The 27,952-nt window shown below is 50.2% G+C and overlaps 1 protein-coding gene across 18 annotated transcripts in view, besides 3 other annotated features; it reads left to right on the top strand.

Annotated features, from left to right (window-relative positions):
• VRK3 (VRK serine/threonine kinase 3) overlaps positions 1-27,952 on the top strand; it is a 48,905-nt gene that overhangs the window by 6,412 nt on the left and 14,541 nt on the right. For 9 of the 18 annotated variants that reach the window (XR_007066855.1, XR_007066857.1, XR_007066858.1 and 6 more), the window contains exons 3-10: positions 2,798-2,937; positions 9,576-9,725; positions 11,135-11,392; positions 18,107-18,171; positions 21,391-21,457; positions 23,686-23,770; positions 24,042-24,147; positions 26,009-26,101. Coding sequence is in view for 13 of the 18 variants with exons in the window: in XM_005258971.4 (XP_005259028.1) it covers positions 2,799-2,937; positions 9,576-9,725; positions 11,135-11,392; positions 18,107-18,171; positions 21,391-21,457; positions 23,686-23,770; positions 24,042-24,147; positions 26,009-26,101 (963 nt within the window). In the remaining 5 variants the exon portion in view is untranslated. Of the gene's footprint in view, positions 1-2,797; positions 2,938-9,575; positions 9,726-11,134; positions 11,393-18,106; positions 18,172-21,390; positions 21,458-23,685; positions 23,771-24,041; positions 24,148-26,008; positions 26,102-27,952 lie in introns of those variants that run through there. The other 9 variants (XR_007066860.1, XR_007066859.1, XM_005258972.5 and 6 more) reach the window with 2 other exon arrangements.
• Positions 14,752-14,811: a silencer, noted in NCBI's record as "silent region_10949". NCBI's record gives its function as "represses an Ori minimal core promoter by ATAC-STARR-seq in GM12878 lymphoblastoid cells {active_cell/tissue: GM12878}" and the evidence as "EXISTENCE:reporter gene assay evidence [ECO:0000049][PMID:35858748]".
• Positions 23,696-24,195: an enhancer, noted in NCBI's record as "H3K4me1 hESC enhancer chr19:50498023-50498522 (GRCh37/hg19 assembly coordinates)". NCBI's record gives its function as "activates a minimal SCP1, AML or CMV promoter by ChIP-STARR-seq in primed H9 embryonic stem cells {active_cell/tissue: H9 hESC(primed)}" and the evidence as "EXISTENCE:reporter gene assay evidence [ECO:0000049][PMID:30033119]".
• Positions 24,196-24,697: an enhancer, noted in NCBI's record as "H3K4me1 hESC enhancer chr19:50497521-50498022 (GRCh37/hg19 assembly coordinates)". NCBI's record gives its function as "activates a minimal SCP1, AML or CMV promoter by ChIP-STARR-seq in primed H9 embryonic stem cells {active_cell/tissue: H9 hESC(primed)}" and the evidence as "EXISTENCE:reporter gene assay evidence [ECO:0000049][PMID:30033119]".

Below are 27,952 nucleotides of genomic sequence, written 5' to 3'. Positions count from 1 at the left end.
ATCTCCTGACCTCGTGATCCGCCCGCCTCGGCCTCCCAAAGTGCTGGGATTACAGGCATGAGCCACCGCGCCCGGCCTTTTTTTTAATTTTTAATTTACCTGGGTACATAGTAGGTGTATATATTTATTGGGTACATCTAGGCAATTTGGTCTTGTGACACCAGTGTCAACACCCAGGTTTGCCTGGCAGAGAGGGAAGAGGCAGTGAGACCTCTAGCTTCACAAAAATGCTCACCAGTATTTGTGCCTTTGAGAAAGAGATGTTATTTTACATATTATTAGCAGGACAACAAATCACTAAGTTAGTCTGGCTAACTTAAGTTAGAATGACTGGCTTTCTAGAGAGTAAAAGATACTTGACCAACAGCCTTTGCAGTCCAGATGTCTTACATGACTCCTTTGTTTGAAAAAACAGAAGGGCAGATTTATGCCACAGAGTGTTTCTGCTCTTCTGCAGCCTGAGGAAAAGGAATCCAGGACCCCTTCTCTCCTCATGTGGCTGAGATTTCTTTCACCAGCTGATGGGGATGGCCTGTGGTTTTTAAGGACAAGCTCTATAATTTCAAAAGTCAGTACCTAGAGGAAATAGACAGGCCTGAGGAGCTCAGAACTTCCTATCAAAGAAGAAAGGGAAGAATAGAAATATTAATGACTGGAATATAGTAACTTGGGTACAAGGCATGATATGGTCACAGCAAGCACTAACATAAAAGGCTTTCTATGGGCCAGGCCCTGTTCTCAGCACCTCATATAAATGTATTCATTTAGACCTCATCGACCATTCTATCAGATAGGAGCTGGGAGAAGCCCCATTTTACAGTGGGGTAGACTGTGACACAGAGAGGTTAAGTAGCTTGCCCAGCATGTAGCAGATCTGGGATTGAAATCTGGCAGCCTGGGGCCAAACCTGTGATTTTAAGGACTCCACTGTTTGCATTTGCAACAGAAGCCAGCCTTTACAGTGAATAAAGGAAAAGGGTTTGATCAGAATGGTCTCTTGCAGCCAGGGTGGTAGCTCATGCCTACAATCCCAGCAGTTTGGGAGGCTGAGGCCGGAGGATTGCTGGAGGCCAGGAGTTCCAGACCAGCCTGGGCAACATAGTGAGACCCCGTCTCTAAAAAAAAAACTTAAAAAATTAGTCAGTTGTGGTGGCACATACCTATAGTTCCAGCTACCTGGGAAGATTGCTTGAGCCCAGGAGTTTGAGGCTGCAGTGAGCCATGATTATGCCACTGCATTCCTCCCTGGTGACAGAGTGAGACCCTATCTCTAAAAAAATTTAAAAATGAATATTCTCTTTCAAGGTGAAATTAAATCACAAGCCCATGTTTATATTAACTTCTATTTCAATAGTTTCACTTTTTTTTTTTTTTTTTTTTTTTTTTGAGGCAGAGTTTCACTCTTGTTACCCAGGCTGGAGTGTGATGGTGAGATCTCGGCTCACCACAACCTCTGCCTCCCGGGTTCAAGTGATTCTCCTGCCTCAGCCTCCCGAGTAGCTGGGATTACAGGCGTGCACCACCACGCCTGGCTAATTTTATATTTTTAGTAGAGACGGGGTTTCTCCATGTTGGTCAGGTTGGTCTTGGACTCCTGACCTCAGGTGATCCGCCCACCTCGACCTTCCAAAGTGCTGGGATTACAGGCACGAGCCACCGTGCCCGGCCAATAGTTTCACTTTTAATTGCTAATGTACAGTAAGCCTGAGACTATAAGAACAAATAAATGGCCTTTTTTTGTTGCTGCTGTTTGTTTTGTTTGTTTGAGACAGAGTTTTCACTCTTCTTGTCCAGGCTGGAGTGCAATGGCATGATCTTGGTTCACTGCAACCTCCACCTCCCGGGTTCAAGCAACTTTCCTGCCTCAGCCTCCTGAGTAGCTGGGATTACAGGTGCATGCCACCACACCTAGCTAATTTTTTTTTGTATTTTTAGTATAGACAGGGTTTCACCATGTTGGACAGACTGGTCTCAAACTCCTAACCTCAGGTGATCTGCCTGTGATGGCCTCCCAAAGCGCTGGGATTACAGGCTTGAGCCACCGCACCCGGCGTATTGCTCTTTGTTAGATGCTCGTTACAAATAGCACTGCCATAATGAAGGGCAATACAAACTGCCTGTTGTACTTCATCCTTGTTAATTTCCCTTCTTCACTTAACTGGCTTAAAACTCTTCTATATCCTCATTTGTCATAGTCTCAGTATGTAATTTGGACTTTTAAAAAGTATCAGGAATTAGCTCAGAGAGATGCAAAGCATAGAGAGTAATTTAGTGAACACTCATCATTCTACTAAATTAGTCAGGATAGAATAGGCTGTGCTGCCATGACAAATAAACCCTGAAATCTTGGTGGCTCAATACAGCAGAAGTGTATTTGTTGATCATGAGGTTCCAGTGTGGACCAGGCAGCCCTCCTTCATCTTGCTATGTCAGTTGGGAGCCATGGCCTCCAGGGCCATCCCTGCAGGTGGAGGGGGAGGCAGAGGAGGTATTCTGACTCCTAACTGCCTCGGCCATGAGATGACTCTACTCACACCCCATTGGCCAGAATTAGTCATGTGGCCTCTACCTTGCTGCAAGGGAACCTGGGAAGTATAGGGGAGCATATTGATATTTGGGGAACATTGACTGTCACTCCCATTCCCATTGCATGTTTTAAGAAGTGAACATCACAAACAGTTGAAGACCCTGGTTGTGCCTCCTGCCACTCACCCTGTGATTAAGAGCAGTTCAACAATACTTCCACTGACCTTCAGCTGGCCCGTTTCACTTTGTGTTTGTTCATTCTGTTTTGTAGCATGATCTCCTTCTGTCCAGACTGTGGCAAAAGTATCCAAGCGGCATTCAAATTCTGCCCCTACTGTGGAAATTCTTTGCCTGTAGAGGAGCATGTAGGGTCCCAGACCTTTGTCAATCCACATGTGTCATCCTTCCAAGGTAAGAACCAGAGCATTGAGCCTGTTTCTGCGGTGGGAATAAGGTGCATACACGTGTGTGTCTGCGGAGGGAGGATGCCTTTGCAGCCTGTCTGACCCTGTCCTGACACTGGAGAAGCCCAGGCCTCAGGACTGGACCCCTCTGTCTACCATCAGTCTCTTGGCCTCTTATTGGCCTCATGGCTTTGAACACTGTCTCCATGTTAACATCTCCTTCATTTCTATCTCCAGCCAGCCTGGACTCCCCTGCTTGGAGGAGATATATGTGCAGCCTGCCAGCTTGGCACCTGCAGGTTGAGTATCCCTTATCCGAAATGATGAGGACTGGAAGTATTCTGATTTTGGATTTTTTCAGATTTTGGGATATTTGCATTATACTTACTGGTTGAGCATCCTGATTCAAAAATCTGAAATCTGGCTGGGCACAGTGGCTCATGCCTGTAATCCTAGCACTTTGGGAGGCTGAGGCAGGCAGAGCACTTGAGGTCAGGAGTTCAAGACCAGCCTGGCCAACATCCTGAAATCTCATCTCTACTAAAAATACAAAAATTAGCTGGGCATAGTGGCGCATGCCTGTAATCCCACCTACTTGGGAGTCTGAGGCAGGAGAATTGCTTGAACCCAGGAGGCGGAGGTCGCAGTGAGCCGAGATTGCACCATTGCACTGCAGCTTGGGCAACAGAGTGAGACTCGATGTCAAAAAAAAAAAATCTGAAATCCACAGTAGTCCAGTGAAATTTCCCTTGAGCATCCTGTTGACACTCAAAGTTTCAGATTTTGGAGCATTTTGCATTTCAGATTTCCGGATTTGGGATGCTCAGCCTGTGTTGGATGTCCTGGTCACATCTTAGTCTGAACATGCCTTCACCTGAGCTCCTGGTGTTCCTGCCGCCTGCCCTAGACTTCCCCATTGCCATGAATAGCACTCCATTCATCCAGTTTCCCAGGCCGGACCCTGGGGATCATCCTTGAGTTCTCTTTGTCTCGCACCCCGTGACACACCCACCCCTTCAGCAAATCTTGTTGGCTCCCTCTTTACAATCAGTGCAGTATCAGCCCACTTCCTTCTCCGCACCTCCCACATCCCTGGTCCTCACCTCTCTTATGCAGAAGCCTTCTTGCCCTCTGCTCCCCTCTCTTGTCCCTGTAGTCGTCTTCACGCAGCCACCAGAGAGATCCTGTGAATACAGTCAGAGCCCATCATTCCTCTGCTCATACTTCCCCAAGTGAGGTGAAGGGACCAGGTCCCCATTTCCCCTCAGACCCCACCTCCCGACCCTCCTGCTATTCCAGCCACACTGGCCTCCTGGCTGCCCCTCCACACCTCAGCACGCCTGGGCCTCAGCCTGTGCGCTTGCCGCTCCCTCCTGGACGCCTCTTCCCTTATGGGCCTGCATGCCCCACTCTTTCACTGCCTTCAGGTTTTGTTTTTAGTTGTTTTTGTTTTTGAGACTGAGTCTTGCTCTTTCGCCCAGGCTGGGGTGCAGTGGCGCAATCTTGGCTCACTGCAACATCTCGGCTCACTGCAACCTCCGTCTCCCAGGTTCAAGCAATTCTCCTGCCTCAGCCTCCCAAATAGCTGGGATTACAGGCGCCTGCCACCAAGCCCAGTTGATTTTTTGTATTTTTAGTAGAGACAGGGTTTCACCATGTTGGCCGGCTGGTCTCAAATTCCTGACCTCAAATGATCCACCCGCCTCGGCCTCCCAAAGTACTGGCATTACAGACGTGAGCCACCATGCCCAGCTTTGTTTTTTTTTAAACAGTCTCGCTCTGTCACCCAGGCTGGAGTGCAGTGGCCCCAATCTCAGCTCACTGCAATCTCCGCCTCCCGAGTTCAAGTGATTCTTGTGCCTCAGTCTCCCGAGTAGTTGGGATTACAGGTATGTACCACCATGCCCGGCTGATTTTTATATTTTCAGTAGAGATGGGGTTTCACCACGTTGGCCAGGCTGGTCTTGAACTCCTGGCCTCAAGTGATCTACCTGCCTCAGCCCCCCAAAGTGTTGGGATTACAGTCATGAGCCACTGCGCCCAGCCATGCCTTCAGATATTTATTCAATTGTTACTTTCTCAGAGACACTTTCCCTACCACTACTAATTAAAGTTGCATCTTCCCTCTATGCAATGATCCTGTCCCCCTTCCTTGCTGTGTATTTCTTTTTGGTACTTGTCTCAACCCTATTAAATACATTATTTTGCTTGGATTGCTTCTTCTGTAAGCTCCATAAGGACAGAAACTTTTTGTGTTTCTGTAACCTGTGTTGATTGTGGTTTTGTAACCTGCTGTTTGCACAGCACCTGGGTCTGTGCCTGGCATGGTATTGGGTGCTGAGAAATCTTACTGACTGGTTGAATGAATTAATTAAATATCAGTAGTAGGTCTTGCTCACTGGAAGGCCCAAGCCCAGATACTATATTGGTAAATCAAAGAAGGTTTATCCATCGGACAGTTGTGCAGAAGGCAGTCAGCATACATGGCGGGGAGTCAAGTGACATTCATTTTATCATTTGGGAGTGTGTTTAGCTGCAGATAACAGAAAATGCTATGACAAGGGTTTAAACAAATGATTAGGTTTATTTCTTCTTTTCTTTCACTGGCAAGTATGTAGAGCAATATTTTTCTTACTAAAAGGGGACAGTGCGTATTGGGATGGTGTCCCCATGATGCCCTAAGGGACCCAGGCTCCTCTGTCTTTGCACTGAGCCATCCTTAGCATATGGCTTTTGTTCCCATGCTTACTGCCTTGAGGTCTCAAGTTGACTTCTTCATCTCCACAGTTCCAGGCAAATGTGAACAGCGTTTGCCTTGGCCCAACTTGAGAGTCAGAGTGTTTTTTTTGTTTTGTTTTGTTTTTGAGACGGAGTCTCGCTCTGTCGCCCAGGCTGGAGTGCAGTGACGCGATCTTGGCTCACTGCAAGCTCCACCTCCCGGGTTCTCTCCATCCTCCTGCCTTAGCCTCCCGAGTAGCTGGGACTACAGGCGCCCACCACCACGCCCAGCTATTTTTTTGTATTTTTAGTAGAGGCGGGGTTTCACCGTGTTAGCCAGGATGGTCTCGATCTCCTGACCTCATGATCCACCCGCCTCGGCCTCCCAAAGTGCTGGGATTATAGGTGTGAGCCACTGCGCCCGGCCTTTGTTTTTTTAAGACAGAGTCTTGCTCTGTCGCCCAGGCTAGAGTGCAGTGGCACGATCTCGGCTCACTGCAACCTCTGCCTCCCAGGTTCAAGCGATTTTCCTGCCTCAGCCTCCGTAGTAGCTGGTATTACAGCCGCGCACCACCACACCTGGCTAATTTTTGTATTTTTAGTAGAGACCGGCTTTCCCCATGTTGGCCAGGCTGGTCTTAAACTCCTGGCCTCCCAAAGTGTTGGGATTACAGGCATGAGCCACTGCACCCGGCCAGAGTCAGTTCTTAACCCAACCCCTGCCTTTCCTAATGCTAACCTAGAGCCCAGTTCATTATTCACTCCATCAGTCATCAGATGGCAAATATGTATGGGTAACCTGCCATGTGCTGAGGTGCTGTATTTGTCCCGAGGATTATAGTAAGAAATGAGACAGCCCTGGTTTCTGGTCTCTCAGTAAGACAACAGACATTGAATAAATGATTATCAGCAGGTTGCATGATAACAGAGGGGAACTGAATGGACCCTGGAACATATATAAGGGAACATGCTTTTCAGGGAATCAGGGAAGATCTCCCTAAGTGGGTAAAGTTTGAGCTGAGCTAGGGATGAAGAAGAATGGGCCAGGCACAGTGGCTCACGCATGTAATCCCAGCACTTTGGGAGGCTGAGGCAGCCTGATCACCTGAGGTCGGGAGTTTTGAGACCAGCCTAAACAACATGGAGAAACCCTGTCTCTGCTAAAAATACAAAATTAGCTGGGCGTGGTGGTGCATGCCTGTAATCCCAGCTACTCGGGAGGCTGAGGCAGGAGAATCGCTTGAACCCGGAAGGGAGAGGTTGCGGTGAGCCAAGATTGCGCCATTGCACTCCAGCCTGGGCAACAAGAGCAAAACTCCGTCTCAAAAAAAAAAAAAAAAAGAATGAGCAAGGTGGGAGTTGGCACATGTGTTCCAGCCACTGGGACATGGTATGGGGAGCAGAGGTGAGGCGAGGGGAGCCAGACACACTGGAGGAGTGAGGAACATTTCCACCTGGGGGAAGACAGGCAGGACCACGGGAGGGAGTTTGGTTTTAACTACACACTGGAGGAGTGAGGAACATTTCCGCCTGGGGGAAGACAGGCAGGACCACGGGAGGGAGTTTGGTTTTAACTACACACTGGAGGAGTGAGGAACATTTCCGCCTGGGGGAAGACAGGCAGGACCACGGGAGGGAGTTTGGTTTTAACTACACGCTGGAGGAGTGAGGAACATTTCTGCCTGGGGGAAGACAGGCAGGACCATGGGAGGGAGTTTGGTTTTAACTGTGGTGACGTGGAGAGCTGCGGAAGAGCTTCTACCAAGTAGGCAACACAATAGGCTTTGCATTTTGGAAAGATTTCTGTGGCTTCTCTGTGTGGAAAATGGATTCGAGGCATGGAAACCAGTTAGGAGGCCATTCCAGTAGCCCAGGGACCAACCATGCTGGCTGAGTTAGTCAGTGTCAACTAAAAAGAAAGGACATTTGTTTTTAGCAATATGGCAGACCAGATGATAATAAAAACTCCTTATTGTTCAGTGTGCCCAAATATGTGGAATAAAACATTAAAATGTCCTTTTAAAATATAGAGCTAAGTGGTAGGAAAGTAAGGGGAGTCCATGGAGATGAGAAACAACAGGAAAACAGAGACCACAGGGCTAAGCAAGTGTTACATAGGTGTTATTTGTCCTGGGGCTGTTTGCTGATGGCCTTGAGCCTGTGTTTTATTGGGGTGCAGGAGACAAAGCTTAGGGCCTTAGCAGTACAGGAGTTGCAATTGGAAATTTCCTCTCAAATCTGGGGCTCCTCAGTGGGTGAACTACAACAAAAGCAATTGTTCCACAGAAAATTGGTGGAGACATTTGTCGCCTTGGTGGTGGGTAAATAAAGGAGGAATGTCTTCTTTGAGAATTCCCTTTTTTGTTTTTGTTTTTTGTTTTTTGTTTTTGTTTTTGTTTTGAGACACAGTCTCACTCTGTCATCCAGGCTAGAGTGCAGTGGTGTAATCTTGGCTCACTGCAACCTCCACCTCCCGTGTTCAAGCGATTCTCCTGCCTCAGCTTCTCAAGTAGCTGGGTTTACAGGCACCTGCCACCACACCCAGCTAATTCTTATATTTTTAGTAGGGACGGGGTTTCACCATGTTGGACAGGCTGGCCTCAAACTCCTGACCTCAGGCGATCCACCCGCCCTGGCCTCCCAAAGTGCTGGGATTACAGGCATGAGCCACCACGCCCAGCCTTCTTGGAGAGTTCCTAACCAAGAATTCACGTTCTCACCAGTTTGGGGCCAGAATTCACACTGATCTGTGTGGTCCCCCAAAATGCAAGCTGAACATTTAACTTAAAGTGGTGAGATGTGGGTACCACTCCCTGCCTGATATAAACAAATCTTCTCTTGGAAAACATCCTTTAAAGACAAACATCAGGGAATTACCACAGGTCAACATCCAAGGATCATGAGTACCAGTCTCTGTTGATTTACAAAGACACCAGGAAATAAGCTAGCTGGAGAGTCAGCAGAAACAACAAACTGCAGAATCGGACCTGCCAAGACCACAGACTTTAGAATTAATAGATGAGAATGTTTACAAAGCATGCTTAATACATTTAAATAAATAAAATAACAAATTGAAAGTATAATGAAGGAATAGGTTAAAGTTGCACAGGCAAATAAGAGAAGGAACCAAATAAAAACTCTAATGATTGTATGTGTGTATATGTATATGTGTGTGTCTATATATGTATATATGTGTATGTGTGTATATATATACACACAATCATTGTATGTGTGTATATGTGTGTGTGTGTGTATATATATATAAAATAATTATTGTAATCAGAAACTCGGTGGGTGGTTTAAACAGCAGACTAGACATAGCTGGGAGAATTAGTTAACTGGAAGATAGATTTTAAGAAATTACATGGAAGAGGCCAGGCATGGTGGCTCATGCCTGTAATCCCAGCACTTTGGAAGGCTGAGGCTGGCCGATCACTTGAGGTCAGGAGTTCAAAACCAGTCTGGCCAACATGGTGAAACCCCATCTCTACTAAAACTATAAAAATTAGCAACATTACAGGCATGTTGGTGCATGCCTGTAATCCTAGCTACTTGGGAGGCTGAGGCAGGAGAATTGCTTGAACCCAGGAGGCAGAGGTTGCAGTGAGCCAAGATTGCACCACTGCACTCCAGCCTGGGCAACAGAGTGAGACTCCATCTCAAATATACATACATATAAAGACATTATGTGGAAAGGACACAGAGTGGCAAAGTGCTGGAAGATACAAGAGAGGCAAAGACCTAAGAAGGAGAGAACAACTAAAAGGAACAGTTTGCTCATATATTTACATAATAGAAGAAGCAAGAATTGGTGTTGAGGGCCAAAGAGAACAGCATAGCTGAGTATAACCTCAGGGCTCCCAGTCCAATGGTGCCTGCAGAGGGGCCTTTGTAACTCCAGTCTGCATTTTGTCTGCCTTTCTTTAGGCTCAAAGAGAGGGCTGAACTCCAGTTTTGAAACCTCTCCTAAGAAAGTGAAATGGTCCAGCACCGTCACCTCTCCCCGATTATCCCTCTTCTCAGATGGTGACAGTTCTGAGTCTGAAGATACTCTGAGTTCCTCTGAGAGATCCAAAGGTAAGAGTTAAGGTCTATCTGGCCTGACTCTTAAGTGGAGCAAAGTTAGGTCATCTGATGATCTTTGGGACAAAACTGCCACAGCCCCGGCTCAAACATCATCCATCCCTGCCTGGACTCTGACTCCAGCAGCTTCCCCAGCCTCCCATCTCCCCCTCCAGTCTGCCTCTATATGGCCCCAGATGGGTCTTTCAGCACCTAGAGCTGCCCCGGCCCCTCCCTGCACACAGACCCCTACTGTTCCTGGTGCCCTCAGACCAAGCTCTTCAGTCTGGTATCTGTGTGGCCTGGTTCCTGCTTTAGCCCTCAACACAGTCTTTGCCCAGAAAACACTTTTGGGGATTAACCTTGGTCTTTGCTAAGCCTGTTCCCTCAGCCCAGGGCACTCTCACCTTCGTTCTTGGCCTTGTGTACTGCCACTCAGCCGATACTGGTCTCTAGGAAGCTTCTCTTGAGTGCCATAGGCTCGCATCCAGACCTCCTCATCGTCCGCCAGAGCCTCTTTCCAGCCTCTTTGGCGCCCCCCCGTGCCTGCTGCAGCCTTCATTGGAGCGCATGTCAGTCTAGGCTCCACATCCCTTTCGGCCTCACTTTCTGGGCTGGGGGCCCTTTGCAGGTAGGGACCCAGCACAATTAGTGTATATACCCTCTGCCCAGCCAGTGCCCAGGACACGGGAGGCCTGAGGACTATGTTCCTTCTCCTGTTCACTGAGCCCCTGGATCTGAAGCCACAGCCACAGTGGCAGTGTGAGGCGTCCCCTTTGCTCCTCATTATCCTCTGGGCCCAGAGGCCTCTTGCCATTACTTGCCTTTAGGGGATGGTGGGTGGGAGGAACAGAGTAAGCGATGTCTTTTCCTGTGTCCAAGTCTGTCTCCCACCACACCCACCCCATTCTCTTGCCAGGCTAGGAGCCCTTCTAGGGCAGGGCTTTGGTCTAACAAATTTTTTGGCCCTTTTCTATCTCAGGACTGAGTCCTTTTTCAGGATGTTTTTGGGTAAATGTCTAGAATGTCCTTTATTCCCTGGCAAACTTCTCCTCATCCAACAAGATCCAACTCTAACATCCCTTCCTCCAGGAAGCCTACCCTGACTTCTCCAGGCAGGATCTCTTTCTCTTTTGGGCCCTAATATCTGTCTGTACTGCCCTGTCTCAGACCCGCATCTGACTAGCTGTGTCTAGAGCAGACTTGCCCACCAAACTGGGCACTCCTGAGGGAAGGATGCAGGTCCGACTCCTATCTGGTGCCCCAACATCATCACACAAAGGCCTGACTCATAGAAGGTCCCAGGAAATGTTTGTTGAATGAACGAATTTGTAAAGGAACAGTATTTTGCGTGCTGTTTCACTCCCCATCTAACTTTTCTCTCCTGGATGGTGCTTTTACTTTATTCTTACATCCTCCTGCAGGCTCCGGGAGCAGACCCCCAACCCCCAAAAGCAGCCCTCAGAAGACCAGGAAGAGCCCTCAGGTGACCAGGGGTAGCCCTCAGAAGACCAGCTGTAGCCCTCAGAAGACCAGGCAGAGCCCTCAGACGCTGAAGCGGAGCCGAGTGACCACCTCACTTGAAGCTTTGCCCACAGGGACAGTGCTGACAGACAAGAGTGGGCGACAGTGGAAGCTGAAGTCCTTCCAGACCAGGGACAACCAGGGCATTCTCTATGAAGGTACACTCTGTCCATGGGCGGCCAGGGACTGGGTCGTCTCAGCACCAGGACAGTGGGAGGGGACCCCGTTCTGAGAATGGGAATGGAAGCCACATCCCTAGCTGCAGACCTGTCGCTAGGCAACTTTCTCTTAGACCTTGGACTCTATACCTACCCACCTGCAGGGCCGGGCAATAGTGGGAATGAGTGCAGCAGGCTGGAGTAAGGCAGTTGGGAGTGGCGGGGACTGCGGCCAGTTGGCATGTGCCCTGTGTGAAGTGTGCCCCTCCTCACCCCACCTGCTACCTGCTATTGTCACGTGGGAGTGCAGGCCCAGGGGCTGCATGTTAAGGATGGTTGTTCTGGCCAGTGTGCAGAGAGAGGATGGATCCCCACGTAAAATTTGGTTCAAACATCGAGACTGATGATGTCACACACACACCAAGAGGATGTGAGAGGTTTATTGCTTACATAATAGGGGTCTCTGTGGAGAGCAGGCAGGCCTCCCACACAGATCTGAGATGCCTTGAGAGTGAGGAAAGGAGACTGGTCAGGTGTTTCATCGTGCTTGGGGGTGGGGCTGGGCTCAGGGTTTCTGCACAGGGGCCAACACCATGCATGGTTTGAGTCTCGTGGATGCACACCCCAAAGGAGGGAGCACCCAAGCTTGCTCATCCGCTCACCCAGGTGTGGGATGGAAGGGGAGGAGGGAGGCACAAGGCTGAAAAGCTCAGACTCTGTTACAATGAGGAAAATAATTATGGCAGTAGTATTAGTATTAACTGTAATAAATATTGAGTGCTTCTGCAAGGCCAGGCCTGTTCTAAGCACTTTACATGGGTTTTTCTTTTCCTTTCTTTTCTTTTTGGAACTTTTTAATTGAGATAAAACTCACATAAAAGTTATTCTTTTATTGGCCAGGCGCGGTGGCTCACGCCTGTAATCCCAGCACTTTGGGAGGCCGAGACAGGCGGATCACGAGGTCAGGAGATCGAGACCATCCTGGCTAACGCGGTGAAACCCTGTCTCTACTAAAAATACAAAAAATTAGCCGGGTGTGGTGGCTGGCACCTGTAGTCCCAGCTACTTGGGAGGCTGAGGCAGGAGAATGGCGTGAACCCGGGAGGCAGAGCTTGCAGTGAGCCGAGGTTGCACCACTGCACTCCATCCTGGGTGACAGAGCGAGACTCCGTCTCAAAAAAAAAAATTATTCAGTGAGACTCCATGTCAAACAAAAAGTTATTCTTTTATTATTATTATTTATTATTTTTTATTTTTTTGAGAGAGAGTCTTGCTCTGTCACCCAGGCTGGAGTGCAGTGGCACGATCTCGGCTTTTAACAACCTCCACCTCCTAGGTTCAAGCGATTCTCCTGCCTCAGCCTCTCAAGTAGCTGAGATTACAAGCGCATGCCACCACACCGGGCTAAATTTTTTTATTTTTTTATTTTTATTTTTTGTATTTTTAGTAGAGACAGGGTGTTACCATGTTGGCCAGGCTGGTCTCGAACAGCTGACCTCAAGTGATCCACCTACCTCAGCCTCCCAAAGTGCTGGGATTACAGGCATGAGCCACCACGAAAATTCATTCTTTTAAAGGGTGCAACTGAGTGGCCTTCAGGATATTCAGAGTGTTATGCAACCATCGTCACTATCTAATTCCAGGACGTTTCTGTCACCCCAAAAAGAAACCCAGTAGTTCTGAGCCATCACTCTGATTCTTCCCCCAGTCCACTGGCAGCCACTAACCGCCTTTCTCCCTCCGTGGATTTGCCCCTTCTGGGTGTTCACAGAAGTGGAGTCCTGCGCTGTGTGGCCTCTTGTGTCTGGCATCCCTCACCCAGCGGCGTGTGCTCAAGGTGCATCCATGCTGTGGCGCGTCACTGCCGCACTCCTTTTATGGCTGCGTGATATTCTGCTGTATGGGAACACCCCATGTGGCTTAGCCACTTAGCAGCTGATGGGCGTTTGGGTAGTTTCCGCTTTGGGCTGTTATGAGTAACGCTGCCATGAATATTTGCTTACAAGTTATTTGATGGGCAGAGGTTTGCTAAATTCTCACCGCAGCCTTAGGATGTCAGTACTATCCCTATCCCCATTTTATACATGAGGAACATGGATCCCAGAGATGTGAATTATTAGGCTCTGGGCTCCAGAATCTTCCAAGTTTTCCAGGAAAAGCTTGAAACCTAGATTTCAATAGGAAATCTTTGAATTGGAAGTGCCTGCTGGCCAGACAGGCACGTAGACAATTTTGAGCCTTCCGTTGGCCATCCCTGCCTTGAAGTCTGGGCAGGTGGGCAGGACAGCTGGTGTTTCAGACAGCCCCGAATCTGAGTCCTGACTTGGCTCCGACACACTGAGGGAGCCCCAGCAAACAGCCCAGGCACTCTGTGCCTTGATGTCCTCCACTGGAAAAGTGAGATGACGCCTTGTCCCCTGTCTCCTGGGGCTGTTGGCTCAAATGATGATAGGAGATGGAGGCCAAGCACTTGGAAAACTGTACAGGGTCCTTCCCAGGCAGAGGTAGGCAGTGTTAATAACAGAGGGACAGATAGGCAGGGCCAGGAAAGGTGAGGGAGAGGGGAAAGAGTGTGACCAAGACCAAGCAGGAGCAAGAGAAAGAGGGCCGTGGCTAACACCTAGGGAGCACTCACCTGTGCCAGCACTTTTATTTTTAAGAGATGGAGTCTCGCTCCATCACCCAGGCTGGAGTGCGGTTGTGCAATCACGGCTCACTGCAGCCTCAACCTCCCAGGCTCAAGTGATTCTCCCCCCTCAGCCTCCCGAGTAGCTTGGACTACAGGCAGGCGCCACCACGCCAGGCTAATTTTTTAATTTTTTTTAAATAGAGACAGTCTCACTGTGTTGCCCAGGCTGGTCCCAAACTCCTGGGCTCAAGCGATCCTCCCGCCTCAGCCTCCTAAAGTGCTGGGATTACAGGCAGGATCCCATGCCAGACACTTTGGGAACTCTCTGTGTCTTACCCATGTAATGCTGCCAGCCACACTGTGAGATAGGCACCCATATTACCCCATCCTGCAACTGGGGTACAGAGAGAGGAAGCTACTTGCCCAAGGGCACACAGCCTGGAAGTAGTAGAGCTGGGATTTGAACGCAGGCACTCTGGCTTCTCCCAAGAAAGGGAGAGAAAGGAGAAGGAGAGGGCAGGGAGAAAGAGCGAGAAGGGATCATGATGAGAAGGAATGAGGGGCCGAGGAGCACAGAGGGAGGAGAAAGGGAGAAGGATGAAAACCAACAGTAAGAAAGAGATTGAGGTGAGAGAGCAGGGTGGGGAGAGGGCAGGAGGGCGGGGAAGGAAGAGGGAGAAGGAGAGGAAAACACACAGAGCCAGGAGCTCCTGAGAGAAGAAACCACGCTTGACCTCCCCCAGAAACCCACAGTGGAAGCACAGGAGGAGCTACTCTGGGCCAATGTGGTTTTGGTTTTCCCTTATATGACTCAGGTTGTTTGATAAAAATAGCAAACCCCAGTGCCCAGCCTGTGTGAGTCATCCATTCCTTCAGCAGTCCCTTTATTTATTTATTTTTTAAAGTAGAGACGATCTCACTATGTTGGCCAGGCTGGTCTCAAACTCTTGGCCTCAAGCCATCCTCCTGCCTCTGCCTCCCAAAGTGTTGGGATTATAGGCGTGAGCACTGTGCCCGGTTGCTCAGTGGATCCTTAAGCAGCACCTACCATTTCATGTGTCTGGCCGCGGTGCCAGCACAGACAGTGCAGGGAGAGCGGGGCTGGTGAAGGCCCTGCTGATGCGGAGCTTGCATTTGGGGACACACCACCATTGGGTGACATCGCCCCAGAGCAAATCGCCCTTTTCTTCTGCCAGTTTGCACCAGTCAAGAAGAGATGGTGGAGTTGTATGTCCCGTAATTTAAAGCAATAACAGTAAAACAACAAGAACAAGCTGAATCGTTATGGTTATTCGAGCAGTGGACACTTTACCCCACTCTCTGCGCCATGCTCTAAGCATTTTATTAACTCTTGTGTCTCTGTCCAGTACTGAACTATAATGTCATATATCCCGGGCCTCGCTGAGCTATAGGGGAGAACCACCATCCGTCATCAGTCACATGAATCCGTGCGGCTGCTCACTGCGGTGCACTTGGGAGAGCTGCCCGTGAGCAGCAGCTCAGGGTCGGGCCCACGCTGCCCTCTGCAGCTTCTGCCTTTGCAGATGAAAGGTGGGGCTTGTGTTAGTTTCCTGTGGCCGCTGTAACAAGTTACCACAGTGAGTGGTTTAACACAGCACATGCTTATTCTCCTACAGCTCTGGAGGCCAGAAGTCCAAAATCACTGGGTACGAAGTTTAGGTGTTGGCTCTGCTGATTCCTTCTGGAGGCCGGAGGGGAGAAGTCAGTCAGGGTCCCCAGCAGGGCCTGGGGAGGTGGAAGGCATGGGGCACCCTGGAGCTCAGTGGTGGGCTGGGCTGCCTCTGCTTGCCGCTTGTCGCTTGACCTTTCGAATGACAGCATGACCCTGTGCCTCAGTTTCTTCATCTGCAGAGGGGAGATGGTAATGCTACTGCCCTCACAGGGCTGCAGTCAGGAGAGTGAAATGAGTAGAGTGATGCCGGGAAAACGGCCACTGCCGTATATGTGCTTTCTGGTGTTAGGGTCAGGATGGGTCCCAGAACAGTGCTCCTGCTCCAAGTTCAGGACCAGCTGACCTTTGGGAAGGGGAGGTGCTCACCTGCCTGCATGCCACGCCCTGGTCTTCATTTGGCACATGTAGAGACTTTCCATTTGTCAGGTTTCCGGCAAGCAGAAACCTGGATCTGCCACCCTAGATCACAGAGTCTAGAGCCCTGGGCTTGTGGCCTGTCTCTGCTGGGGCCCTTGGCCAAGCCCCTTTTCCCTTCTGGCCTCCCTTGGCTCCCTCTACAATGAAAATTGCCCAGCTAGCTTTCCAGGCTGTTGGCTGCAGGGCCAGTTAGAAAAGTGAAAGAGAAAAGCTTTTTATAATCTGCAAAGCAGATTATAAAATTGTATCAAATTGCCAGCTTTTCCTGCTTGCCTCTGAGTACCGGGCACGTACGCATTGTCATTAACCTCATGGTGCCTCTGAGAGACAGGCACTGTTACTATGCCTGGGTTCCAGAGCTGGGCGGATGCTTGGTCATGATGTCACAGCCTGCTCCAGCATGATCCCCCCAGTGCTCTCCCCACAGCTGGAAAGGATTTTTCTTTCCCCGAGATGCGGGTCCTGCATACGTCTCCCTCTCTTCCCCTGGGCTCAGAGCACCCTTGGCCTTGAACGTGTAGAGCTGGCTCCCAACCCTGTTCCAGCTGGAGCTTCTTGAGGGCAAGGATGGCTTCTGGGTGACTTTGTCACCCCCCATCCCTCAGCTCAGTGTCTTAGACGATACCAGCCTCGATGATGAAGGGAGAGTGGGAACGATGAGAACAGAGGAAGGAGGGACACCAGCGTGAGTCAGGTGTGCGGGCGACAAGAGCTCAACTCATGGGCTTTGGGATTAGCTAGACCCAGGTTGAGCCAGCTCTGCCACTCCCCGGCTGGGGAGCCCTGGTGTTATGGGGATATTTTAAGGCCACCACCTGTGGAGCAATCCTGATGTGCCAGGGTCCGTGCTGGGCTCTGGGCTGAGTGGGTTCACTGAGCAGTGTGCGTGAAGGGGGATGCAGACTCTTGCTGCACACATCGCTGGTGCTGCTCTTACTCCTGCCAGCCTGTTGAGTCCTTGCAGCCAGTCTCGGGGTAGGCCTTACTGCTCCCATCTTACAGACATGCAAATGGAGGCCCAAAGTCATACAGAGAGCAGATGGAGGAGCTGGGATTTGAACCCTGGGTCAGCCTGGCGTTTCTTGGCCTCTCTCCTCTTCTCATCTGTCAGATGGGACCATGCATGTGAAGCCCACACTTAGCACAGGGCCAGAGACGTGGTGAGGTCTGTAAATGAACAGTAAGGGCTACTGGAGCAGGCTCTGTCGGGGGACAAGCATGCAGGGTGCTTATGGGGAGCTGCCTCAGGGATCAGAACCCAAGGAGGGGGTAAGGAGCAGGAGGTGGGCTGCGATGCAGCCCAGTGATGGCCTCAGCCGACCCTGCAGGGCTCTGGAGCAAAAGTGGTCCTTCAGCGTGCGTCCGTGTTGGGCCAGGAGAGGCTGGGCCTTTATGTCCACCTCAATCAGTCACTGGACCTGGGTCACCCTGGGATGTGGCCTTGGATGAAGTCACTCTGCCTAGGACGCACCTAATTGCCCAGCCACAGGCTGTGACAGTACATGGGAACTGTCCACCAGGAAGTTCCTCAGAGGCTCAGTGCTCGGGGCTGTTATTGGGGAGTAGTCATGTGGCCCCCTCTGTCTGACATGTATCCGCATCCCAGGTTCCCCAGAGGAAAGCAGGTGTTGCACAGAAACCACAGTGATTGCACAAGCAGTTTAGGCTCAGCGAGCCCCACTCACTTAGGGGATTCTGGGAGCCCTCCCGGAATCCAGGGTCCCAGACCTTGCCAGGAGAGCCGTCTCAGGCCTGCTGCATTAGCCCTTCCTGCATGGCTGGATAGTGACAGAGAGAAAGAGGAAGAAGAAGCTTATTTAAAACTAGGAAGCAGCAAGTCGTGAGAGCCAAGAGTGCGCTTGACCTTGTTGGAACCAGGGCACCAGAGCCGCTTCTCATTGCTGGGAAGTTTGGGGATGATGACCCTGACCTTCCGCGTGGTTATAACCTCACTCCCTTGTTTGTTCCCCCACAGCTGCACCCACCTCCACCCTCACCTGTGACTCAGGACCACAGAAGCAAAAGTTCTCACTCAAACTGGTAAGTGACCCTGCAGGTGGGGGGCAGCTTGGAGGGGAGGGACTTTCACAAACACATCCTTGACTTCTGAGCCCGTCTGTCAGCTGGGAGAGCTCGGCCGGGGGCCAGGGTCCCCACCTGCAAGGAGTATTAAGACCGTGGGCGGGGCAGGCGCCCAGTTCTCCATCATCCCAGGGTGTTGGAAACCCACAGTTGGATCCACCCAAGTCTGGCTCTGATGCTTCCCTGCTGTGTGACCTGGGCAAGCCCATCCCCCTCAGAGCTCAGTTTCCTCATCTGTGAAATGGAGCCACTAATACCCACAGGGTGTGGCCCATCTGCCCCCTACCACCGGCCTCGCAGCGTGCTCGTATCGAGCACCTACTGTGTATCACCGTGCTGGGTGTGGGGTCCAAAAGAGAACCCAGCAGATGGGGTCCCTGTGCTGAGGATTCAGTGAAATCACACATCGGGTGCCGAGCATGAGTCTCAGCAGACAGGACATGTGCACTCGAGGTTGGGGCTAAAAGGAAACAAATAGAGAAAGGGAGAGTGGCCACGAGGGTGAATCACGCCTTCCACACAGAGGAGGTGCCTAACAGAAGGGCATCGTGGTGGTTCATAGCCCCGCCATCATCCCTGGGTGCTGGGATTACAGGTGACTCTTATTTTCTTTTTGTTTATCAGAATTGTCTCACACCCCAGAAAACCAGGGACAGCTGGGTCAGTTGCCCTCCCTCCGCCCTAGGTGGAGGCCATGAGAGTGGGTCAGAGCGTGGGCTGTGGAGCCGGGCTCACTAGTGGTGGGTAGCACCTGCTTTGAGAGCCTGGCATTGCCTGAGCCGGGCTGTGTTTCATAAGCACTGCTTCATTGAATCCTCCCAGTAGGGCAGCTACCGTGTCCCATTTAACACTTCTCTGCATGGTTCAGGTGTGTCTGGCACAGTAGGCACCCCATCAACCTGAGCTGTTCCTGTTATTACTACTGTAATTATGCTCATCATCCTAGAAATACAGCCTTGCTCTCTGTTCGTGCATCTGACCTCATCAACATTTCCTGAGGCTCAAAACTTGGTGATGATGAGTTGGCCCCAGGCCCAGCCCTGGAGAGGCTCCCAGTCTGGCGGGAGCCATGTCATGTCCCAGTCCCATCGGGAAGAGGGGTGGGCTGGGAGGGGAGCACAGGGCACTGGGCCAACCAGAAGACATTCACCCTCCCCATCCACTGGGAAGGCAGCTCTGTTCTGAAGCATTCGAAAGGTCAGGGGCTGAATGCCCAGTGGTGTTCATCCATCCATTTATTCATTTATTCACCAAGCCTTTCCTGCAACCTCCTGTGAACTGAGTGCTGGGGACATCTGCAGAGATGGGTCAGACCCAATTCCTGCCCTGAAGGAGCTGCCCCCTTGGGGGAGTGGGGCAGGCATGAATACCCCACATGAGATTGCTCAGGGCCTGCATGGCTGTGCCCACGTCGCTCGCGTCAGTCACTATGGGCTTCGCCAGCATCGTGGGGAGGACTCCAGGACGCAAAAAGAGAAAAGGACAAGAAGAGGAGAAGATGGGGCAGGGAGCCAGGCTCACTAATGACCAGTAGCAGCACCTGCTTATTGAGAACCTATTATGTGACAGTCCCTGGGCTGAGTGTCACAAGCATTATGTCATTTAATTCTTTTGGATTTTTGTTTGAGACAGGATCTCTCTCTGTCACCCAGGCTGGAGTGCAGCGGTGCAATCAAGGCTCACTGCAGCCACAGCCTCCTAGGTTCAAGTGATCCTTCCACTTTAGCCTCCCAAGTAGCTGGGACCACAGGCATGCACCACCACGTCCAGCTTTTTTTTTTTTTTTTTTTTTTTTTTTTCTGGTAGAGATGGGGTCTTCCTGTGTTGCCCAGGTTGGTCTGGAACTCCTGGGCTCCCACCTTCACCTCCTAAAGTGCTGGGATTATAGGCATGAGCCATCACACCCAGCCTTTTGGTTTTCTTTGGGGTTTTGTGTGTGCGTGTGTGTGTGTGTATGTGTGTTTACTATGTCATTGAATTATTTCAGCAAGCCTATGGGATGGCTTCCATGTTCCTATTTAACAGATGAGGAAATGGAGACTCAGTCACTTGCCCAGGTGCACCCAGCACGCAGGTTGCTTTGTTCACAGCTATATCCCCAATGCCCAGAATAATACTCAGCATATAATGGAGGCTTTGTAGGAAGAATGAATGAATGAATGGCAGAGCTGGGGTTTGAACCTAGATCTGTTTGACTCTATACTCTTAAGAACTCAGCTGCATGAGTTGTGTTTAATTAAAATATTTGGTGCTTTTTTTTTTTTTTTTGCTACAAAATCTCACTCTGTCACCCAGGCTGGAGGTGCAGTCTTGGCTCACTGCAACCTCCGCCTCCCAGGTTCAAGCAATTCTCCTGCCTCAGCCTCCCGAGTAGCTGGGATTACAGGCACGCACCACCATGCCTGGCTAATTTTCGTATTTTTAGTAGAGGCAGGGTTTCACCATGTTGGCGAGGCTAGTCTAGAACTCCTAACCTCAAGTGATCCACCTGCCTCAGCCTCCCAAAGTGCTGGGATTACAGGCCTAAGCCACCACACCTGGCCATTTAGTGTTATTTTAACAAATACCTAATATTAATGGTGGCTTAAGCAAGATGATGTTTTATTGCTTTTTCATTTAAAAGTCAGGGGCAGTTTTCCAGAGCTGATAGGATGGTTTTATAAACAAGGGGCCCTGTTTCCTTCTTTTTGCACCAACATTTTCAACGCATAACCTGCATCTCCTGGGCCGTAGTGGCTGCTTCAGCTTCCACCATCACATCTGCGTTGCAGCCAGCTGGAACAGAAGAGGAAAGGTAGAGCCTGTCCCAGCCCACTAAGGGCATAACCTGGAAGTTGCCCACATTTCTTCTGCTCACATCCTCATTGGCCAGAACTTGGTCATGTGGTCAGTCCTCACTGCAAAGGAAGCTGGGAAACGTAGTTTTTATGCTGAAGGCTACATTCTAGGGAACACTGTGGCTCTTACCATAAGAGAAAGAAAAGGAACCTGGGTACAGCAAGGTAGCTCGCAGTCTCTGATGTGTGTTTGTGTGCAGTACCTGAGGAATTTGGCTCCGATGTGGGGACTTGATGAGGAGCCTGGTCATTGAGGGAGTAACAAATTGCCAGTGGGGACTGGGGGCCCTTATCTGAGACTTCAGTGTGACAGCCTTCTGCCCCTCCTGTCCCCCACCAGGATGCCAAGGATGGGCGCTTGTTCAATGAGCAGAACTTCTTCCAGCGGGCCGCCAAGCCTCTGCAAGGTACCTGACAGGGAACTGGGCAAGGAGGGGAGAGTGAGGGGGGCGCCAACTTGGTCACAGCACTTGACTTCTACCTGCAGGCATGAGAAGGGTGGGCTTAGATTAAAGGCCCAGGTTTGCTCCCATCTGTGTCCATAACCTGACTCCTGTGACCCCTCAGGCCTCAGTGTGTGTTGTGACTGGCTCACACCAGCTCTTGGAAGCCAAGTATTAAATTTTCAGGCTGGGCGTGGGTTGACGCCTATACTCCCAGCACTTTGGGAGGCTGAGGTGGGCAGATCACTTGAGGCCAGGAGTTTGAGACCATCCTGGGCAATGTGGCAAAACCTTATCTCTACTGAAAATACAAAAATTAGCCGGGTGTAATGGCATGCACCTGTGATCCCAGCTACTCAAGAGGCTGAGCTGAGAGAATTGCTTGAGCCCGGGAGACAGAGATTGCAGTGAGCTGTGATTGTGCCACTGCACTCCAGCCTGAGCAACAGAGCCAGACCCTGTCTCCAAAAAAAATAAAAATAAAAATAAATTTTTAGGAAGATGGCAAGCTGGTTGTTACAGACAGCCAGTACTAGCAATTAAATTATATAGGCCAGGCGTGGTGGCTCATGCCTGTAGTCTTAGCACTTTGGCAGGCTGAGGTGGGTAGATCACCTGAGGTCAGGAGTTCAAGAGTAGCCTGGCCAACATGGTGAAACCCCATCTCTACTAAAAATACAAAAATTAGCCAGGCGTGGTGGCGTGTGCCTGTAATCTCAGCTACATGGGAGGCTGAGGTGGGAGAATCACTCGAACCTGGAAGGTGGAGGTTGCAGTGAGCCGAGATCATGCCACTGCACTCCAGTCTGGGCGATAGAGTGAGACTTAGTCTCAAAAAATATATAAAATAAGTTACATAATTTTACAAATAAATTATATTCAAAACAAAGGTAATGAACCCTCAGAAATTCATCACTTCCTAATTATTTCCTACATGTCCTGTGATCTCTGCCAGTGAGGTTGTGTGCACTATTGTCTCTGTGTGGTGAGAATGCTGCATGATGGCCTCCCCTGTATATCTCTCCCACCCCACCTCCAGTCATGTCATGTTGGTAGCTTGGAGTTGGCCATAGCAGGAGTATTTATTTACACTGCAGAAATTAGCAAATGCAGTCGGGCGCGGTGGCTCATGCCTGTAATTCCCACACTTTTGGAGGCGGAGGCCGGTGGATCACCTGAGGTCAGGAGTTCGAGACCAGCCTGGCCAACATGGCAAAACCCATCTCTATTGAAAATACAAAAAAAAAAGGCCGGGCGTGGTGGCTGATGCCTGTAATCTCAGCACTTTGGGAGGCCGAGGCGGGCGGATCATGAGGTCAGGAGATTGAGACCATCCTGGCCAACATGGTGAAACTCCATCTCTACTAAAAATACAAAAATTAGTTGGATGTGGTGGCACGTGCCTGTGATCCCAGCTACTCGGGAGGCTGAGGCAGGAGAATCACTTGAACCTGGGAGGTGGAGGTTGCAGTGAGCCGAGATCACGCCACTGCTCTCCAGCCTGGTGACAGACGAAGACTCCATCTCAAAAAAAATAAAAAATAAAAAAAAATTAGCTGGGCCTGGTGGCAGAAGCCTGCAATCCCAGCTACATGGAAGGCTGAGGCAGGAGAATTGCTTAAAATCAGGAAGCGGAGGTTGCAGTGAGCCAAGATCGCGCCATTGTATTCCATCCAGGGCGACAGAGCAAAACTTCGTCTCAAAAAAAAAGAAAAAAGAAATTAGCAAATGCTACCCATCAGGACTGCCTTCCCTGGATAGCCAGCTGTTAAACTAGCATCAGCTCGCCATTGGTTCTGGTCCACCCCACTGAGATCTGGAAGACAGGCAGAGGCACATTCCGGTGATGCCATGGCTAGGTTAGACACGTGTTGATCTTGTTAGCTCTATGTGTGAATTCGGAAGTAACCCTGTCATTATCCCATCTCTGCACTCCAGACTTGTATATGCTTCCTCCAGAGCCACCATGATCACCCCATCACCTGCAGACCTGGATCACAGACATTCATGGTCACCCATGCCTGCCCTGTCACCAGCCCCTTCCCACCATCACCCACCCACAATGTTGTCACCTCCAACAAGGAGACTTGGAGGCGGTCTGGGCACTCTGTGCTTCTTCTCTGAGAACTAGCTCTTACTGCCATGGGCTTGGGACTGGGTGGGTTCTAACCTCAAGCCCCTGCTTTCCGCAGTCAACAAGTGGAAGAAGCTGTACTCGACCCCACTGCTGGCCATCCCTACCTGCATGGGTTTCGGTGTTCACCAGGACAAATACAGGTGAGCTGCTCTGCTCACTGCTTGCCTCACCGGCCTCTTTCCTCTTCTTCCTGTTGTGACTCCAGGCATGGCTGGGACCCCGAAGCCGTGGGCCAGGTCTTTGCTTCCTGCCTTCTCGTAGTTTTGACCTAGTTTGCTGCCCAGCCAGTCAGAACCTTTGATCTCACCTGGGACCAGGACCTTGCAGCCCACGCAACAGTCCATCCTTGGCGGCCGGTACTCCTCTCTCCCCTGTTCATCTCCCACCTCCTGGGGTGCTTGTGTCTTCCAGGTTCTTGGTGTTACCCAGCCTGGGGAGGAGCCTTCAGTCGGCCCTGGATGTCAGCCCAAAGCATGTGCTGTCAGAGAGGTCTGTGCTGCAGGTGGCCTGCCGGCTGGTGCGTACCCAGAAGTTGCTCAGCTGCCGCGTCAGGGAGGGCACATCACATCCTAGTTTAGCAGGCACTTTAGTCATTGACACTTCCGGCCCCCACCCCCCTCCGCTGCACACTGGGGGCTGGCTCACTGACTGCCATGGCAGGCGGTTAGAGCCGAGATGATGGGTGGTCAGTCCTGTGGAGGGCCCTTGGGGGGCCATGAGCATTGGAGGAAGGAGCCCCGGCCTCAAACTGAAGGCTTAGATTAGGCTTCCTGGTGGAGGGTGTTTCTAAGCCAAGACTCTCAGGATGAGTGGAAATAGCAAAGTGCTGGGTGGAAGAGGAAGAGGATAGATGAGGAGAGGATGGTCCGGCCAAGGATACAGCTGGGGCAAGGCTTGTGTGGAAGGGAGAGCATATGGCATTTGTTCATTAGTTCATTCATTCATCCCCATTAAATATTCATCAGGCACTTGCTGGGTGCCAGACGCTGTCCCCGGGGCTGGGTGCAGAGCAGGGAGCAGCATAAACATGGTTTCTGTGTCTTAGAGCTCACAGTCTAGTGGGAGGGGCCAATAGTGAATCAAACAGTTGCACAAACTATGACAAGTGCTCTGAATAGAAGCGGCCCCTGCTGTGATTGAGAGTAAGAGGGCCCAGTTTGCATCGCTGGAGGGATGGACGTACCAAGGGAGCGACATGCTGAGTCCTAAGGTCTTTATGTTCAGTATCTGCAGTATGGCACTGCAGTGCGGAAGAGATGGAGTTGGTCTGGAGAGGTCAGCGGTGACCACATCACACGGGGCCTCGCACAGCAGGCTGAGGGGCTGGGATCTGTCTTGAGGGCACTGGAGAGCCACAAGAGTGCTGGGATTAGGGGAGGGCGGGGTCAGCTCTGGGTACAGAAAGGCCCTCAGGGGCCATATGGGGAGGGACTGGAATGGGGAGAAGAATCTGAGTGAGGGTCCATGTGGGAGAGGACAAGGCTGAGGAGGGTCCCGGGCCCCGGGGGTGGAGAGTCTATAGGAGGAGAACGAGCAGAATTTGGTGGACAGTAGAGCCCTGGGGTCAAAGAGGGTTGGGGATATGATCAGAATGTAGCTGACACTCAGGCAGCAGACACAATCAAAGAATTGGCCGGGCGCAGCAGCTCATGCCAGTAATCCCAGCACTTTGGGAGGACGAGGCAGGTGGATCACTTGAGCTCAGGAGTTCAAGACCAGCCTGGGCAACATGGCAAAATGCCCTCTCTAATAAAAATACAAAAAATTAGCCGGGTGTGGTGGCACCCACCTGTAGTCCCAGCTACTTGTGAGGCTGAGGTGGGAGGATCACCTGAGCTTGGGAAATCAAGGCTACAGTGAGCAGTGATTGTACCACTGCACTCCAGCCTGGGCAACAGGAGTAAGACCCTGTCTCAAAAATATATATATACACACAGCAAAAAAAGAGTCTGGAGCTCATAGGGACAGCTGGAGCTGGAGATCAAGATATAAATTGCTTAACAAGATTTATTTCTGCTCTCTAGGACAGGTGAGAAGAGCTCTTTGATATCCACAGGTGCTGAGTCATTTTTGCAGAGAGACATTAACCCCTTTTCCCTCTGCTGAGTTTGTCATCAGCTAAGAGAGAAATACAGGAGTAGATAGGAAGCCACGCTTTAGCTCAATTGATGAGCTTCCTGAGAGCCTGATTAGAGGCGTGCTCAATGTGCTGTCACAGCGGGCTCCTCATGCTACCCCGGATTTAGTCAGGTTTAACCCCCAGTCACAGTGTCGGACAACCCCAGGCCTTAATAGTGGGGCTCCCTCCTGGTCTGCACCATAGCCTCTCTGTGTTAGTCGTACTGCTCATGCAGACACTGACTTGCTTCTTCCCCCAGCTGGATGCCCTGGAGTTCCTCCATGAGAATGAGTATGTTCATGGAAATGTGACAGCTGAAAATATCTTTGTGGATCCAGAGGACCAGAGTCAGGTAAGAGCCAGCTCCTGCCCACTCTGGAAGATCTCTGGGCTCAGGTTCCCATCTGTCTCCAAATCTCTATTTATTTCATAGTGCTTATTACAGACAAAGGATTGCTGTCCATCATATATAAAGAGCTCCTTCAAATAAATAAGATAAGCAACTTAGTAGGAAAATGGACAAAGGATAAGAAAAGCAATTCTTAAAAAAAGAAATCCACAGGCTAGCTAAATAATATGAAAAGATATTCAACCTCCTTAGTAACTATAGAGATGTAACTTAAAACAAGATACTATTTTCACCCTTTGAACAAAATTAAGCATGATAATAATATTCATTGCTGATAAGGATATAAGGAAGTAGGAATTCTTCATATACTGTTGGAAGCATGAATTGGGAAACCCTTTTGGAAGGCAATAACAGTCACAGTTTTAAATGCACCTGTTTTTTGTCTTTGATTTTGTTTTGAGATGGAGTTTCACTCTTGTTGCCCAGGCTGGAGTGCAATGGCACGATCTCGGCTCATCACAACCTCCACCTCCTGGGTTCAAGCGATTCTCTGTCAGCCTCCTGAGTAGCTGGGATTACAGGCATGCGCCACTACGCCTAGCTAATTTTGTATTTTTAGTAGAGATGGGGTTTCTCCATGTTGGTCAGGCTGGCCTCGAACTCCTGACCTCAGGTGATCCGCCCGCCTTTGCCTCCCAAGGTGCTGGGATTACAGGCCTGAGCCACCGTGCCCGGCCAAAATGCACCTGTTTTTTGATCCACAAGTTCCTGTCTTAGGAAGGTGTCCTACCTATATATTCATAGGATTGTTCAAAGATAAGTGTACAAGATGTTCCTGGCAACACTGATTGTAATAGTGAAATGGGAAACACCTTAAGCGGGATACTGATTAAATAGTATTTTAAAGTAACTTCTAATTGCTCTTACAATTACAAATGACAGAAACCCAACTTTACATGCCTTAAGCCAAAAACCAAAAGGGACTGTGTGCAATGTATTAGTCCACAGAATGGAGCAATCCAGGACTGCACTGTCTCGGGCACGGCAGGATCCAGGAGCTCAAACCCTGTCATTGGGAAGCCGGCTCTCCCATCTCTGGACTCCTCATGCTTCTGCACTGCTCGTTGTCAGGCAGACTTATTCCTCATGGTGACAAAATTGCCACCAGCAAATTAGGCTTAAATCCCCAAAGCTTAGCAGCCCTGGCAGAAACAGACCTGAACTGCGTGGACTGAGAACTGGGGAAAAGCAATCCCAGATGAAAATCCTGGAACTAAGCATTAGGAATCTTCAGAGAAACAGAACTGGCAGGGTGTGTGTGTGTGTGCGTGTGTGTGTGTGTGTAGAGATTTATTATAAGGAATTGGCTTATTGATAATGGAAGCTAAGCAGTCCTGAGATTCTTCAGTTTGCAATCTGGAGACCTAGGAGAGCCAATGATGTAAGTTCCAATCCAAAGGCCAGCAGGCCTGAGACCCAAGAAGAGGGGTTGTTTCAGTTCAAGTCCAAAGGCAGGAAAAGACCAATGTTCTAGCTCAAGCAGTCAGGGAGGAGGAGCTTCTGGTTACTTAGCTTTTTATTCTATTCACATCTTGAGTTGATTGAATGAGACCCACCCACATTAAGGAGAATAATCTGCCTTGCTCAGTCTACAAACCCCAATGTTCATCTCATCCAGAACACCCTCATAGACACTCCCAGAATAGGGTTTGGCCAAATGTCTGGGCACCCCATGGCCCAGTCAAGTTGCCACATAAAAATGACCATCATGGCCAGGCCCAGTGGCTCACACCTGTAATTCCAGCAGTTTAGGAGGCCAAAGTGGAAGGATCGGATCGCTTGAGCCCAGGAGTT

The sequence above is a fragment of the Homo sapiens genome, chromosome 19 (genome assembly GCF_000001405.40).
Source record: "Homo sapiens chromosome 19, GRCh38.p14 Primary Assembly".
In the NCBI taxonomy this organism is placed as follows: domain Eukaryota; kingdom Metazoa; phylum Chordata; class Mammalia; order Primates; family Hominidae; genus Homo; species Homo sapiens.
Note: the sequence above shows the minus strand (reverse complement) of the source record. Positions and strands in the feature narration are given on the sequence as shown.